The sequence below is a fragment of the Homo sapiens genome, chromosome 5 (assembly GCF_000001405.40).
Source record: "Homo sapiens chromosome 5, GRCh38.p14 Primary Assembly".
NCBI lineage: Eukaryota > Metazoa > Chordata > Mammalia > Primates > Hominidae > Homo > Homo sapiens.
The window spans coordinates 123,365,414-123,383,483 of record NC_000005.10 but is presented as its reverse complement, the minus strand read 5'-3'; the positions used below and the strand labels follow the sequence as shown (position 1 = coordinate 123,383,483).

At 35.6% G+C, this 18,070-nt stretch overlaps 1 protein-coding gene across 11 annotated transcripts in view; it reads left to right on the top strand.

Annotated features, from left to right (window-relative positions):
* CEP120 (centrosomal protein 120) overlaps positions 1-18,070 on the top strand; it is a 78,951-nt gene that overhangs the window by 40,359 nt on the left and 20,522 nt on the right. For all 11 annotated transcript variants that reach the window (NR_164685.1, NM_001166226.2, NM_153223.4 and 8 more), the window contains 6 exons: positions 402-498; positions 595-747; positions 1,284-1,373; positions 5,056-5,148; positions 5,949-6,110; positions 10,712-10,834. Coding sequence is in view for 10 of the 11 variants with exons in the window: in NM_001166226.2 (NP_001159698.1) it covers positions 402-498; positions 595-747; positions 1,284-1,373; positions 5,056-5,148; positions 5,949-6,110; positions 10,712-10,834 (718 nt within the window). In the remaining variant the exon portion in view is untranslated. The remainder of the gene's footprint in view (positions 1-401; positions 499-594; positions 748-1,283; positions 1,374-5,055; positions 5,149-5,948; positions 6,111-10,711; positions 10,835-18,070) is intronic.

Genomic DNA, 18,070 nt, shown 5'->3' with positions numbered 1-18,070 from the left:
CTGATGTAAATAGGAAAACAAGACAAAACTGTATGAAGTCAGCATGCATGTGTGCATGTATATCTATATATAAATAAAACAGGAGGGAAATAAACTACATATTAGCAATAATTACCTGTGGGCAGTAAGATTTTAAATTTCACCTTTATACCTTTTAAAGCTCTCATAGGGGTCATTTTGTAGTAAATGTATGCGTGTATTTAGCAGGGTGTTTGTGATGATCAATTTATATATATATGGAAGGTGTTGAAGCCTACAGAAGTTGCTGCAGTTTCAAAAACAATAGAGTTAGGAGCAGAAAATGTTGCTTACTTCCCATTGCTAAAGCACTGGGGAAATAAAAGGAAAAATAATATAAAGTATTTCTGTGAATTTTAAGGTATTTCTTATTTTATTTGTAGATCAAATAACAGGATAGCAGATCTTTCTTACACAGTGACTCTAGAAGATTATGGACTAGTAAAAATGCGTGAGATTTTTATCTCTGATTCATCTCAGGTAAATATAATTGAATGTTATCAAATTTTTTTTAAAAGGAATCTAATGTGCATATGTGTGTGAGTGTTTAAATGTACTTTTTGGTTCATCTCTTAGGGTGTATCTGCCGTACAGCAAAAGCCGTCTTCTCTTCCTCCAGCACCTTGTCCTTCAGAGATCCAGACAGAGCCTCGTGAAACGTTAGAATACAAAGCAGCACTTGAGCTAGAAATGTGGAAGGAGATGCAAGAAGATATATTTGAAAATCAGGTTACTTTTTAAATGTTACTTTAAAAAATCTGCTTTGTCTGCTCTGTATATTTTTCCTTCTCCGTAGCAAGGTTTAATCTCTATGTTCTGTAGGTACCTTATCTAACTTCTTTGAATGTCAACAATGCTTTACTTAAAAAAATTTGAGAATCAAAAAATACCTGAAATGTGGCACCTTGGCAGAAGCCACTCAGAATTCTGTAAACTTTGTTCATGATTATTGGGTAAAATTGGGAAGTTACTCTTTAAATTTCATGTCCTCATTTGGCATGCCCTCCTGGAACCTTGCATCATTAGTCTCCAAACAAGAGTTAGAAAGCACAACCCACTGTTAGTTTTATAGTTTCCTGAAGTGAACTCAAATGGGCATTATTTGCCTCAGGCATCCTCCTTTTTTTTTTTTTTTTTTTTAGAATAAAAAAGAATGCCTGAAAAAATCATATTAGTGATCAGCATCGGTTATTTAACTGACAACTGATTCATTTATTTGACATATTTGGGGTTTTTTGGCGACTTTATTTTTCTTCCTTTTGTAGCTGAAGCAGAAAGAACTGGCTCATATGCAGGCTCTTGCAGAGGAATGGAAGAAAAGGGACCGAGAAAGAGAATCACTAGTAAAGAAAAAGGTAATAACTTGTGTAAAAGTGAGGAAGAGAAGGAAGAATATTAATGATAATATCTTGTATTTGCGTTAAAGACAGTCTCTGGAAGGAATAACTAATTTTAGTGGTGATATGTTGGCATGGAAGAAGTGAGTGGTGGCTCTGGATAGAGAAGGGAGGCGTTTCACTGTAAAGTATTTTGTGCTTTTGGAATATGCAAATGTATTACCTATTCAAAAAATATATAATATAGGCCAGGTATGGTTGCTCACACCTGTAATCCCAGCACTGAGGGAGGATTGCTTGAGGCCAGGAGGTTGAGACCAGCCTGGACAACATAGTGAGACCCCCATCTCTTAAAAAAAAATATGTGTGTGTGTATATGAATATACAAAAATGAATAGAGAAAAACCCTGCTGATGTATAAAAAAGAAATAAAAGCACATTTCAATATATATAAAACTACATATTATAATCTGTAAGTTAATAGAATGCCTCAAACGTTTAAGCTATTTTTAAGAATTATGAAATAAATTACATTTTTAAAAATGATAACATGAGACCATCTGATTTTATTCCTGAAGCAAAAGCTTAATATTTATCCATTTACACTGAAGTTATTAAATAAAACAACCCTAACAGACTTTCTTCAAATATTCTATTAATAATTTTAGGACTTTAGAAATACTCTTATTAGTGGTTAATCAGTATTCAGCTTCAGATTTGAGGGGATGGCTCTACAGGGCTCCAGTGCTCCTTCTCTCTATAACCCCCTCCTCTCATCAACTCTAGTTGCCTCAGCCTCTCTGGTCTCCATTCCGTTTTCTCAGCTCAGCAAGATTGCTAGTGTCTGTTTGGGTTCCCCTTCCTTGAGCTACTACAGTCTTCAGGCAGTAAGCTAGATATATTGTAGTGGTTGCCTCATTTATTTCTCACCTTTTAGGGATCATTGTCCTGTGCTGCCTGTTGCCCAATGTCTAAAAACAGTTGTTTCATAAATGTTGTTTAAGTTGTGTTTATAAAGGAGGGCCATTTGTCTTTTATGGGTGGAAACAGAAGTACACAGGCCTTTGATTTTAAAATAACCAAATCAGCTTTTTCTAACTTAATTCTCACCATTAAAAACTTGAATAACCAGTGAACTTTTAAAAAAGCTGAAAGACAAAAATAAGAGTATTTCAAAGTCTCTATTCTTTAGAAACGTTCAGATAACCAAAATTACAATAATTAGAAGCCCTGACATACATTTTAACATTATGCGAGTTATCCTGTTATTAAGTGAGTTTCATATTAAGTAATATTTACAGACCTCACCTATTAGATATTCATTGAATCTGGGGGAGCTGGAAAATACCATTTTAATTTTTAAAATTTTTAACCTAGCCTTTAAGACAAGATGAGTTTATCCTTGAATCATTTCTCTTCATTGTGTTGAAGAGTATTTTAGTATTGAGGTCTGCAAAATTCAAATCGGGAAATACTTGAAAAGTTAATAAAATTACTAGAACCGTGACAAATTCACTTTGTGCCATAATTAAACTTTCTGTGAAAACTCACCAAGTAATTTTTGGTTTGTTGTCATTTTGGTAATAATGATCTTTTCAGCTAAAATTTGTAATTGGTTTCCATTTATACACTTCTACCCTTTCAGCCTGAAATGATGAGTTCCTGGCTAGTTAATAACTCCAGTCAGAAAACAATATGATGCCTACATAATAAGTGTTTGTGCTGTTTATTCAAATTAGTCATATGATAAAGGTAGATCTGAGATTGAGATTTGCCATTTTCTTTCAACCTAAGTGCATTTTTGAGACCAAATACTTTAATTCATTTGTCTTAAAGTATCCTGTCTTGCATGGGATCAGTTTTTCTTTTAAATTTTATCAACCACTACAAAATCAAGTCAGTAGTGAGAAAAAAAAGTTGTTTTTCAGTATGATGAAATATTTTAAAGCTAAATACCCTGAGACTCTCACTATAGTATTTTTTAAATGTCAATTATATGTGAGCCTTTTCGTTTATTTACCTGATTTGTCTTAAAAAACGATGTATAACTTCTTTCACACTTTGAAAATTTACCTGAAGGAGTAGATATATACGTGGTTCTTGTTCTGCCCTCTGGAGCAACTGAGATATACTCTGTCTTACATATGACTGCCTGTCAGATAGCTGAAGATAGTCATTACCCACAGAGAAGGAAGACATCAGTTCTACATAAGGAAGTGTTCTGTAGATAAGATCATGCTTTCACTTTGGTGAAGATTAGTGGATATTGCCAGGTAGACTCAAAGGGTATTCCGGACACAGCCCCTTGAGGAAAAGGCAAAGAAGTTTGAAATACACTCTGCATTAAGAAAATTATATGTAGTTTGATGTTGGAAGAGGGGAGGAAAGAGTGTGCCTCAAGAAATAAGGTAAGAGAGGTTGATACCCTGGAGAATAAATGATCTCGTAAATCCATTATGTAGAGTTTAGACTAGATACTGTAGGCTTTTCTTAGCCAGGCCTTCCTGAGAGAATGAAGCCCTTAATACCCTAAGTGATCCATTATTGGTAATAAATTAACTTTATCCTATGCATCTAAAATGGTAGTTATGTACCATTTTAGGAGAGGATGGAGAAAATAATTAAATCATTTTCTGTGTTTTGTGGTTCAGATGATAAACCCTGGTTGAGAACGGTAGAAATATCAGAAATTTTTTAAATGAAGATTTTTATATAAAATAATTAGGTTTTCATTCTATAACAATAATTCTGATGGAGGTACAGTGGCTAGAATAGAGGAATGTGAAACTAAAGTCCAGGAGACCAGGAAAGCAATATGTATAAAAAACGAAAGCCAAAAACTAATAGTAGTGAAAGGTTATGGAGAAAAGATGGGTGGTAAAGAGATGATTTTAAGGAGGTTTAGGACCTCAAGCGCTAAGACGTCCTCACGGCTGCTCACAATCCTACTGCTTTCCCTAGTCAATTCATTTTCTCACTCGCCAGAACAGTTAGTTTTTGTCTTAACAAACAATCCTTCCTCATCCTTACCCGGTTTATCTCTGTCTTTGAAACACTTCCTCTATTTGGCTTCTTTGACTATATTTTTTTTTTGGACTACACTTTTCTACTGTTGTGTTCCGCTGTCTTCACTGGTCTCTCTTTCCTAATTTTCATGCTAGATTCTCCTCATGTTGGCTTTATTGGCTTGTCCCACAGCCCAGTCCTCAAATACCATCCTTTCTTCTCTCTGTATACTCACTCCTTGGATGATGTCATTCACTCTCTTGGCATTATATACACCAAGACACCCACCACACGCACCCCCATCCCTGACTTCTTCCCTGGACTCCACACTTGGCTATTTAGTTGCTTACACTACATATGCGTTTCAAATTTAGCAGTCTTTTGTTTCCATCCTCTGTAAATTTAGATTAAGTCTAACATACTAGAGGATGTGGAAATCATAATATGTGAATAACAGTTAAAATTTGTGTTTATCTTGGAGAAGAAAAAAGACCAAGAGGAGGAAATATGACCATCACCAGTCTCAAATTCATAAAAGCACATTTTTTTCTTTGAATTGGCGGATGTAATTTGTGACTTTCCTATTCTTAGGTCCTCTGTTTCAGTGAAATGATGTGTATTTTTGAATTTGTGTGTGTTTTAAGTTTGGGAGAAGGTAGGTAACTTTTTTTTTTTTTTTTTTACTATATTTTAGGTGGCTGAATATACTATTCTAGAAGGAAAACTTCAAAAAACTCTAATTGACTTGGAGAAGCGAGAGCAGCAGCTTGCTAGTGTGGAATCAGAGGTATGTCATTCGTCCATTGTATTTTTTTTCAGCATAGAGGGGTTTATTGCAAAGTAGAAATACTATTTTAAAAGTTAGATGCAAAAGAGTCCCGAGAGAGAAGGGACTCAGGATGGGCTGCTTATAAGAATGAGACAAGCAAAGACTGGAATAGAGGCACTCCATTTATGAGAGTCTTACATAATTATTTACAAAGAGGTGGAAAGTGGTGTTATTAGTAAGTATGTCATCTATCATATATCTTTATTTCACAGAGTCTATATATGAAATTCATACTGTTTATTACTTTGTGCTCTATATATTTCATGAAAATTGTCTTTTAGACATGCAGAAAACTGCTATTCAAACTGCTATTCAGCATATCTTATATATTAAGAATAGGTCGAAAAGTATGTCAGAGTGTTTAAACTTAATAGTGTAGATTTGTGCCTAATACCAAGGCTGTATTCTATGCGATTAGGCAAGAATCAGAAGTTTCTAAAAGAAGAAAAGAAACTTGGGCATATTTGCTTACACACTTAAAAAGGTTTTATTCAAATGGAAATGTTAAGTGCTTAGGGTTTTCAAGTGAATTTATACAAATTGTTTATGGATTTTTATATGTGTGTATAATAGTATTAAACAATGATTGAAAACTTATAATGGTACACTTGAACATTAACTCTCTAATAACTAAAAAAGATATGAAAATAAATTTGTAAATATCCTCAACATTTGAGTGTATAGAAAGATATTGGAATATCGAATAGTATAATGCAGCTAGCAATAAACCAACCTCTTAAAGATGCCTTTGTTTTAAGCTTCAAAGAGAAAAAAAGGAACTGCAATCAGAACGTCAGCGGAACCTGCAAGAACTGCAGGACTCTATCCGTAGGGCCAAAGAGGACTGTATTCACCAAGTAGAACTAGAAAGGTTAAAAATCAAACAGCTCGAAGAGGATAAACACCGCCTTCAGCAACAGGTTGGATAACGTACTTGTCATCTTTTTATGCTTAGTTTATTTGCATTCTAGTAATAAGAGAAATAGTTCACTAACTACTAAAAAGTGGTAAAATTCATAGTAATTTAGACTATTAATCATATTATTGCACTGAGATTCAAATATACTTTAAGTTGGATCTTTTTCTAACTATTTTGTATGAAATTGTGCATATTTCAGGTCATTTCCAACTTAAATCTTTTTCTGATAAGTCTTCTTTAAGCAAATATAGATATTCTTCATGTAGCACTGAACCAAATTCAGTTAAGGACCAAATTTAGTTAAGATCCAAATTTCATGAGAGAATTGTCTCTGTTCCTATTTCCTCTCCTCATACTCAGTAAAACTGATTGGTATCATCAACACTGTTGTCCTTGTTTTTGTATTTTCTCTTCTCAACTTCCACATCACCACTCTCCCTTGTTTTTCTCTACCTTTCTGGCCACCCTCAGGCTCTTTTGCAGGCTTGTCTTCCTTTAGCCGTTACATGTTGGACTTCCTCCAAGCTCAGGACTTACTTTCTGCAAAAACAATCTTATTCGTGATTTCATGCCCATGATTTCAGAGACAGTCTACATCTGGGACTTTCACATGCAGGGTCATATCCAAGACCTTACCTTTGCCCTCTAGACCCATATATCTGATTGGCTTTTTGGCATCTCTGTTCAGATGTCTTAAAGGCATTTAAAACCCACTGTGGTCCTTCTCTCCATACTTGACCTTCTACCTGTAAATGTTCTTTGTTTCAGTGATGGGCCCCTCTAATCTGCTCCTCATGTTGTAGCCAGAATGATATTTTTGAAATTGGGAATCTTGATACTCTCCTCTTTAAAACCTTTCAGCATTGTCTTGTTGCTCATAGGAAAAAGATCAGAATCATTGCCTTGTCCTGCAGGCCTCTGCATAGATCAGAGCCTGTCTCTCTGACTTCATCTCCCACTCTTGTGCCTGTGCTGTGTACTCTCTGCCCGTGCTTGTCTGCCCTCAAGTTCTCAGGCATGCCATGCTCACTTCAACCACAGGATCTTCATGTTTGCTGCATTATCTGGGCCTGGTGTACTCTGTTCCTCCTTCAGTTTTAAGCTAAAGCATCACCCACTCCTAGAAATCTTCCCTAATTCATCCTCCTCAAGTCTAGGACAAATTTTTATTTTATGGTCTCATAGGACATTATTCTCCTGTTCTTTTTCTTTATGATATGTCATATCGGTTTGTTTTTATTTTCATTAGCATGATAATTTAATCAGTATCAGATTGTTTGCTCCATAAAAACTGTTCTGGTTTATAGCTGTATCCCAGGAGTCCAGGCCAGTTGTCAGCACATAATAGGGGCTCAATAAATATTTGCTAAAAAAAAAAAAAGAATCAAGCTGTTAAAAATTAAGCTTATCTTTCTTGAAAAATTCCAATGTAGATTAGATATGTATGATGAATGCCTCCCAAGTCTTCAGTAAATTTTCTCATGAACAGTTTCCACAGCAGCACAGAGCCATTATTTAGGTGGTTGTAAAAATATGAATTTGATTGTTACCAAGTAGGGTAGTCTTGTTTAAAATACAAAAGATAAAGTTGTAAAAGTGGGCAATTATGATGGGATTCACCAGTAATGCTTCTCTTCTTCCAATTATCAGGAAGATTCACCCATCTAGAACAAAGGCTCTTAACACATATTAGAGTCACCAGGAGAGCTCTTAAGAAATACACATATCTGTACCTTGTCTAAGACTGGTATAAGCCAGGCACAGTGGTTCACACTTGTAATCCCAACACTTTCGGAGGCTGAGGTGGGAGGAGTGCTTGAGCCCAGGAGTTCAAGACTAGCCTGGGCAACATGGCAAAACTGCATCTCTTCAAAACATATAAAAATTAGCCAGGCATAGTGGTGCACACCTGTGGTTCCAGCTACTCAGGAGGCTGAGGTGGGAGCATCACTTGAGCCCAGGAGGTCAAGACTCCAGTGAGCCATAATCACAACACTGCACTCCAGCCTGAGCAACCGAATGAGACGGTGTCTCAAAAAAAAAAGAAAAAGACTTGTGTATGGTGTTGTATATGGTGTAGTTTACTTCTTTGTAGGAATAACTAACTTTGGTGGGAAGAACTGGTATTTTGGAAAAATTACTTGGAGCACACTTGTATTCTTGAAGCACTGTTCTAAAACCTGGGGGAAAAAAAGGGGGTAGGAAGGACAGGAGAAGTTTCCAAGATGCCCAGATTGCTAAGTCCATGACTGTATACATTTCACGTTTTAGGTGTGGAAAAGCTTTTTGGGTCCTTACCTTGACCATGTTACATGTATTATACACACAATTCTAACTAGACTGGTAGAAGGGACAGTTACACTGTCAGTGAGAGCTGATGAAGATGAAGTATCTGTACTCAAATAGATTATAGCAGTCACCAGAACTCAAATCTGTAGTTTGTGGATCACTTAGCAAAGGAAAAAGAGCCCAACATGCCTTAATAGCTTACTGCTTTATAGCCCAATTGTAACAAGAATTGTGTATGATAATGTTCTGGAATTGTGAAGAAACTACCAAATTTAATATTTTCTTAGCTTTTGTTTAAAACAGAAAAGTGAGAGACTTTAGAAAGGTTTCTGTTCAACTTTGGATGTTAAAAAATAGGTAAACTTCTGTCATATGGACAGTTCTCATGTATGGAACACTACATTACCTAAACATGCTAGATAAATCCTAATTATTACTGATGATTTCCATTTTTGCCACATATTTTCTTAGTATTAATATTTCAGATTTAGGTAAGTCCTATGCCTTAGGGAAGAGACAATTGGTTTATATAATGATGGATAGTCATAGCGGTATATGTTTTTGGAAAACATCTTTAGCAATCTTTGTTCGCATTTAAAAAAAAACTCATTCAAAAAAGAACATCTTCGTACCTTTTTAAAAATTTTTGAAACTGTTCTAAGAGAAATTTGAATGTTTAGTCAAGGCTATCTTGTCATTTTGTTTTTCAGGAAGTATTGACTGCTTTAATGAAAGCATTATTCAAGGGGATGAAAAGGTCTGAAGTTAGTTTTTGCCCCGCTACTGACTTAGCTCACTAGGTCTTTGACATTGCCTCAATTATTTAGCTTCTTTGACTTTCAGTTTTTGTTGTTGTTGTTGTTGTTGTTGTTTTTACCTATTAGTATGAAGGAATTGAACCAAATAATCTTTAAATTACATTAACTTGTAATAGTATTTGAATTTGTAAAATTCATATGGTACCAAACTGTAAAAACAAGAAATGCTACATTAAAATTGAGCTTATTTTTATTTACATGGATATTTATCTGGCATATCTGTAATGCTCAGTCTTTTTTTGGCAGGGGGTCAGGATTATTCATTTTTTTCACATTTTATTTTCATTACATTGGGCTGGGTAGAGTCATGCACCAGAGTACTGATGATTATGGTATTCTTTTGCTTTCAAACAGAATTGAGATCCAGGTTGTAACTGTCTCTAAATTCAAGATCTGGAGCAGAATCAGCAGAGGTTGACCACTGCTGCTGGGGGCTGGGGGTCTCTGGGAAAAAGGAAACAGGCATGGAGCTGACTGTGGAGGCCTTATAGTTCCAGGGCTCCATTGGGGTACCCGAGGATCTTCCATGTGGCTCAGAGGAGCCCTTCAAAACACAAGCCTGGAGTTAGAACTCAGGAATTGGAAGGACAATCACATCTGTAAAGAGAGAACCTGAAAAGATGTCATCCTTCCATCTGTATCCCAGAATCCTGTGTAGGCCTTCTCCATAAGTAGAGGGCCAGGGTTGGCTTGTTGGCCTCAAAGTAGTCTAGTAAAAGTCTGCAAACTTGTCACCATCTGGAGACACTCTTGCCAGCTCTTCTTTATGCTCCTGTTCTTTGGACACTGGGCAATTGCTCTAGACTATTCCTGATTGTTCGTCCTCAACTCTTCAAATTCAAGAAATTTCCATTCTTTTAGTAAACTGGATCTCCCGGTCACTCCTTGATTTAATTAATTGGGCTGATGGTTTTTCTGGTTTCTTTTTCCTTCTTTGTTTTCTGAGGATTTCTAGTAATTTTAGCCTGTAATCTCTTTCTCTGTTTTTATTCCTGAGTCTTCTCCTGAGATTCTTTTCACTGTAGCTGTAGGGCCTAATCCTGGGTTGGCAGATAACTTGCACTTACTCTGCTCTCATGGAATCCAGGAGAGACAGAGTTGCCTTAGTGTTGAAATGTGTTTGTTCCTCTCTGCTTCTGGTGGTCTCTTGCTGAATTTTTTCTTATATGCGACATCTTAAGAAAAGTGTAAAGAAAGTGTTAGGATTTCTGAAGGTAACTTTTACATTTGACATTTGAGTTTTACCAAAAACATTTTCATGATACCAGTTTGATAAGAAATTTCATACTCTTCAAAAGTTTTTGTAGAATCAGTTGATTTACTGAATTTTTAATTACTAAGGATCTTTATTTTCCTCATTGTACTTTATCAGTTTTCCAGATTTTCTACTATGAGCATGCTGTAGAATAAAAAAAAAGACCTTGTTGAATTGAATACTTTATTGTTAAACTTTGCATATCATTGTTTTGAAATGGCTAAACTTTTTTTAATACAGCTTAATGATGCTGAAAATAAGTATAAGATTTTGGAAAAAGAGTTCCAACAGTTCAAGGACCAGCAAAACAACAAACCAGAAATCCGTCTACAGTCTGAAATAAATCTTCTCACCTTGGAAAAGGTACACATGTTAATTTTGTGCAGTTTAACTAGTCCCAGTGATTAATTTATAAAATCAATCAATAATGTGTATACAATATAATAATGTTTTGCTGTAGTGTTCTGATGTCAAATAAGAATGCATTAGAGAATTAAAGGCACGTGACATTATTAGTACTTGAATTTCTTGGCTTATGTCAGTTGTAGCTTATACAGATTAGAGTCCTTGGTTGCAAACATCAGAACTGACTAACTCTAGTAAGGAAGGGATTTACAAAACTTTCAGGAGGCTAAAGAAGTAGTTTCAGAATATGGGCAGGATAGGGAAAGCAAGGCATAGCCAAGATCCTGTCAGAAAACAGTCTACTTCGGTTGCTCCTTTTGGTGCTGTCACTGCCATGTCACTGGATTCCCTACCCTCTGATTCTAATGTCATGCTGTTGAACTGTTCTGTGGTAGCCATTGTGAATATTCTCTCCGTGTATCACCCCTGTAGATTCAATGTCCTAGATAGGAGTATTCATTTGAACCACAGACTTGCACTCTAGCTCTCAGCTAGGAAGAAGGAATAGTTGTCTTATTTTGTTTTCTGTGGTTGGAAGCCATGTTCTTCTCATTTAAATTGAGATTCCTCCACAAACAATGTTCAGGTGCTAGGCATTAAAAATGTGTAATGTCCAATAGACAAGTTTGACCATATGTGTTCTTGCATTTTATGATTTAATAACTTTTAGGCATGATTAAAAAAATATAGCAGTCAGAGGAAAATAACACAGGTAATACATAGGAAAATTACCTTTAAAGTTTAAGGATTTAATTGTGCCAGCCATTCCCATCTTTTCCTACTCAGCTTTGTGTTGAAGGCTTCCTTTCCCTCATAGACACGCCACCAGGGGGCACTAGCGGAAGACCAGTGGGTGGGAGTTGGATCTATGTTGGGAAGTTTTTTCCATCTCTCTCTACTTCCTTTATTTTCGCTGGCAGTAGTTGAATCTTTTTATGGTTCCATGTCCCATCAGAGAGCCCTTCTCTCCAGCTTCCTTCAGGCCATCCTCCCTGTGGTTCTAGTTCACTGGACAACAGAGCTCCGGTGAGCATTTCCTTTGGGCACTGATATAGTTTGGCTCTGTGTCCCCACCCAAATCTCATCTTGTATCTCCCATAATTCCCAGATGTTGTGGGAGGGACCCGGTGGGAGATAATTGAAACATGGGGGCAAGTCTTTCTTGTGCTGTTCTCCTGATAGTGAATAAGTCTCACAACATCTGATGGCTTTAAAAAATGGGAGTTTGCCTGTACCAGCTCTCTCTTTGCCTGCCGCCATCCACATAAAATGTGACTTGCTCCTCCTTGCCTTCTACCATGATTGTGAGGCTTCCCCAGCCACGTGGAACTGTGAGTTCTCCATTAAACCTCTTTCCTTTGTAAATTGCCCAGTCTCAGGTTTGTCTTTATCAGCAGCGTGAAAACAGACTAATATAGGCATCATGTTACATTAAAAAAGTTTCAAATGTTGGAACATTTTAGATTTTTGGATGAGAGATGCTGAACCTGTAATAGTAGTTTATAAAATAGGGCTGATAAGAGAATGCTGGAAGTAAAGGTAATTTTTGGCCATATGGGGGAATGTCTTAGATGCTAAGTTAAAGAATTCAAATTTTATCTGGTAAGCAAAGTCAAATATTACTCCCAAGTTTGTAAGATTTGTGTAATGGATGTTAATAGAAATGAGTTTTGATGAATTGTAATCAGAAAGTAACATTGGGGACTGGGTATAGTGGCTCATGCCTGTAATTCCAGCACTTTGGGAAGCCACGGTGGGCAGATTGCTTGAGCTCAGTTCAAGACCAGCCTGGGCAACATGGAGAAACCCTGCCTCTGTAGAAAAATATACATATATAATATATATATAAAATATATATTATAATACATACATTATATATGTGTGTATGTATGTATATAGGTATATATGTGTATATATATATACACACACACACACATATATGTATATATAACATATATATACACTAGCTGGATGTGGTGGCACATACCTGTTGTCCCAGCTACTCAGGAGGCTGAGGTGGGAGGATCACTGGAGCCCAAAGAGGTTGAGACTACAGTGAGCCATGATCCCACCACTGCACTTCATCCTGGGTGACAGAGCAAGAACTTATCTCAAAAAAACAAAAACAAAAACAAAGTAGCATTAGGGAGTGATAGACTTCCATGTTTTGGAAAATGGACTAAGGAATAACAGTCACAGCCAAGAGTACTTTGAGAGAAGTAGTGTCTGGTGTCTGCTAAAGTGTGGCAGGGAGAGAAAGACTATGGAATAGCTTCAAAATCTTTTATTTAATAAATCCAGCACTCAAATCCTTAAAGCTTATGTTGAGATACTATAATCTGATAGTAGGCTGTGGAATAGATTCCTCTAGGAACTTTTAATACTTACTGTATACTTCTTATACTTATTTCAGAGCTACCATAATGCAACCTAGATTCTAAACTTTCCAAGGCAGAAACCATGTTATAGCTATTTTCATATTACCTATTCTTAAGACAGCACCCTGTACCTTATAGCACTGAGTAAACATTTGTTATTCATGATGATGAACCAACACCATGTATGCTACTCAGAATTTTCATATATTCATTTATTCAGCAAAAATTAATGGAGGGCATGTTGTCATCTTGGTACAAAATTGTTTTGAGATGTTAAGTTGCTGCTAATCATTTCACCAGCTATTTATTGAGTACCTTCTATGTTTCTAGGATTATAGTTAGTCTTGCATTGAACAAGACAGATTCCTCAGGGAGATCCATTATAGAGGAGAGAGTAAAAAAATAAATGAATGAGATCATTTTTGTTTATGTCAAACATAAAAGTAATAAAAAAGGTGATGTCATTGAATGTGGCAATGTAGGTGGCCTGTCAGGAATAGATACCACCCCACATAAGGTGGTTAAGGAAGGCCTCTTTGAGGAGGGTAACTAACATTTTAATTGGGATCTGTGAGAAGAGAAGGAGCTAGCAATGTGAAAAGTTATAGAAGGTGTGTCCTGGGAACAGCTGCAAAGGAACTGAAGTGAGGTTAAGCCTGGATTGTTTGAGGTTGAGGACGAAGGCCATCCTAGAGCATGAGGGAAGGAGAATGTACAAGATGAGGTTCAAAGTATGGGCCATTAAAGCCATGACAAGGAGTTTAGGTTTTTATTCTAATAGAGTTATAGTATAATAGTAGTTAACAGTATGAATATGAGCCACATCACCTTGGTTCAAATCCTAGCTCTGCCACTTAGTTTACTTCTCTGTACTTATTTCCATATCTTTTAAATGGAGGTAGTAAGGTGATAAGGTTGATAACAGAGTTAAATGACTCAATATTTGTAAAATGCTAAACATAGAACCTAGGACATTGTTTTACTTAAATTGTATGTTTGTAAATATAAAAGTTAAGTAAATAATGAGATACCATTGAAAGGTTTTAAGTAGGAGAGTAACTTGATCTTTACATTAAGGAAAAAAATTATTCATCTAGTGTGTAGAAAATATGTGTTAGAGGACAAGACCTGTCTCTTCGGCTTATGACCCATATATTCAACTGCCTACCCAACATCTTTTCTTGAATGCCTTAGAACAGTAGTTCTCAAACTTTTTTGACTCAGGGTCCCTTTATTGATAATCACTGTATTAGAAATGGGAAAAAAAAACCTAGGTAACATTTTTATGAAAAATAACCATTTTCTAAAACAAAAAATTGAGAAGAGTAACATTGTTTTACTATTTTACAAATCTCTTTAGTGTCTGGATAATAGACATCTGAATTCTTGTATCTGATTTTGAATTCACTCTGTTGTGATATTATACATCATGTAGCCTCTGGAAAACTCCAGTGTACATTTATAGAAGCATGAAAGTGGAAAAGACAAATAATCTTTTGATATTATGGAAATAGTGTCCATCTCCTGGACCCTTGGAAGTCAGTCTTCAAGATATCCCAGAATGTCCAAAACTAAACTCAGCCATCTCCCTGAAATATATTTTTCATGTAGTGTTTCTGAACTCAGTAAATGTTTCTGTAGCGTGTTAACTGCCAAGCTATCTTGGGGTACTCTTATCCCCACATTGCTTTAATTGCAAGTCTTAATTGATTCTTTTTCTTACATATTTGGTCAGTTTCTTCATTTTTCTACCAGTGAACTTGAATCCAGCTGGACATTTCCCATTTCTCTTTTGATAAAACCAAGTAGTAAAGTATTTCTGCGTTTATAAATATGAATTCTGTAGTGCCTACCAGAAATATTTGAAGCACTCATTGGATAATGTCACATGGATTCTCCCAAGTTCTATTATGTGGGTGTCTAAGAGTACTTCCATTTTACCCTGGGGAAATTTAAAGACCAGAAATCAAAATTGTAACAGAGGTGTTATCTTATTCATCCCTGAATACAGACTGGTTGACTAGGTAATATCCACAATAAAAATAAATTTTAAATGACTTTTAAAATTTCTTCCAACTATGCTTTTATCAGAAGGATAGAAATCATTAAACATATTAAAAGTATAAGCAGTACTGTGAGTTTGCCTTGAGAGAGAAAAGTACATAATTTAATTGCCTCTATTTTAGACTTAATACATTCATCCAGCATGTTTAAGTGCCTAGTGAAAAGAGGCTTTTCAGCTCTTCTGAAAATTCTTTGTAAATCTTTTTGGAGCCAGAAGAGGGCAGAATCTTATTTCTTAAAATAGTGACAAAGAGATAAATGCACAAAAAGAAAGACCCAAGTTAAAAAGTATCTGATTTAATTTGTAAGCTCTGGTTATGTCTGATTGAGAGTTTTGTTTCTTTTCTCATTACGTATTCTTTTCAGTGTAATATGCATATTCCCATTTTTTTACTGAAATTGTCTAAAAATAAGTTAACATAAACATATAGTTTTAGCAACTGTAATTGTTGATTCTTTTTACAGGTTGCATATCCCTTATCCAAAATGCTTGGGATCAGAGGTGTTTCCACTTTTAGATTTTTTGGATTTTGGGATGTTTGCATTGTATTTACCTGTTCAGCATCCAATTTTAGATTTTTTGGATTTTGGGATGTTTGCATTGTATTTACCTGTTCAGCATCGCTGTTCGGAAAATCTGAAGTCTGAGATGCATTTCTTATGTGTCATGTCAGTGCTGAAAAGGTATTGGATTTTGGAACACTTTGGATTTTGGATTTTTGGATTAGGGATATATATACATACATACATATATATATAAATATAGCTTCAATAATTGGGACTTTAAAAAATGAAATATTGAAGGCATGTAATTTAGTAGGGCCTACATAGGTGGAAAAGACTGAAGATATATTGAAAGAACATAAATATTTTTAATTAAGCTAAAATTTATGTATGTAAGAATATTTGGTGAGTATCTACTATATGCCACCCCTGACTTGGGGCAAATGGGAAAGATAAGAGAAAAATCAGAGACAGGAAGAGAAAAAGTACATTATCCCTTTGAGACTTCCTTTTGAGACTTCACTTAAAGAGTTCGTAAAGTAATTGGGAGATTACTCAGAGAGCAGTAAATGACCTTGAATAATCAAACACCAAGGAATGTGATAGAAACCATTTGGCGTTCGGAATCTAGTAGTTGTAAGACAGCTTCATGTAGAGGTAGAGTCTGAGCTGAGCCTTAAGATTTAGGTAAGCAGAGGAAAAAGAATTGGCAGCCTCAGGAAGTAAATTGGGCAAGGAGTAGGGAAGGCACAGGGGACACAAACCTGGTTGGAGTAGGTTTCCTGTTGAGGAAAGCAGGTTGAGCGGGTAGGACAGATACTGTATTTTGGAATGCTTTCAATCCTAGGTGGAGTAGTTTAGGTTTAATGCTGTAGATAAATAGTAGCTACTATAGATTTATTTAATAGTGGTTTTTACAAGATTAGTAGATAGAATAGATTTGAGGCTGGGAGGCTGGAGAGACAAAAGAACCTCATAGTCAAGATGAGTTGAGAAGAACCTGGGCTAAGGAAGTAGTGGTAGGAATATAAAGGAATAGAATTTGAAAATATTTCAAGAGAAAAATGTAGAGTTCCTTGTGACAGAATTGATCTGGGAATAGCAGATTAAGAGACAAAGACAATGCCATACTTCTAGTAAAGAACTAGAATTGTAGGTGTATCAAGAGTAGAAATAGGGAGATTGGAAACCGGTGAATTTTAATCTATGCTTTGAGTTTTCCTAGCCTCTGAATGGACTGTAGGTCCTGAGCTGAGTTTTTCTTTCAGGAGTATATAACTTGGCTTATGGTCTATTACCTCAGTCATGACCAAGAAAACCTGAAGAAAAATATAAGTACAAAGGTTTCCAGAAGTTTAAATCTACTTACAGTAAGGGCTCTTAAGAACCCAAGTCTTTGAATGCCTTGAAATTATATCAAAATTTTAGTTGTGTATATTTTTTCTGGGAATTGGGTCCATATATTTCTTTAGAATCACAGAGACATCTATATCTTAAAAAAAATAAGTTAGGAATCGTTGATTTGGGGATAGGAATGAATTAGAAGAATGAGGTTTGTGTCTCAGATTTACTTAGCTACAGGATTGTATTAAGAATAAAGAAATTATATCTATAACTATACATGTGTTTTAAGTTAGTGTGTTTTAAGTTAGTGTGACTATGCAAATACAAATTATTTTAATAATTATGGCAGAACAGATATAACCTATCCACAATTTTTTCTGATGGTGCATTGAGTATAAGTAATCCCTCTAGGTTCATCTCTGGCCTAACCCTCATTCTTGGGCTCATCTAATATACTAGACCTTCTCTCCAAGACCCATGGACATGATTGCTTGTATAATTGAATACTATCCTCTTATCCCACAGTGATAAAAATATTTTTTTCTTTTCTTCTGAGGTATGGCCTCTTGTTAAATTACCAAGTAGTAGGTATACATCTTTGGGGCATAAGTAGAAGAGATCATCTTCAATAATCTCAGCAGTATTATTCAACTTAAGATGCTTGAGTCTAGTTGTGAAATGTCAACACATTTAAATCCAAGCACTAGGGATTTGTAAAGCAGAAAAGACCTTGACTCCATGTAGTCATATATTACTGCAGAAGATGTTCTGCACTTTTGTGAAGGGAATTTGACCATCTGTTTTTCCTTTCATTTTATTTTCATATATTTATGGGAAAAACTAGACTTGATATAAAAATTAGACCGGTTCAGAGTAACAGTGTATTACTGTAATTCAAGCAGAT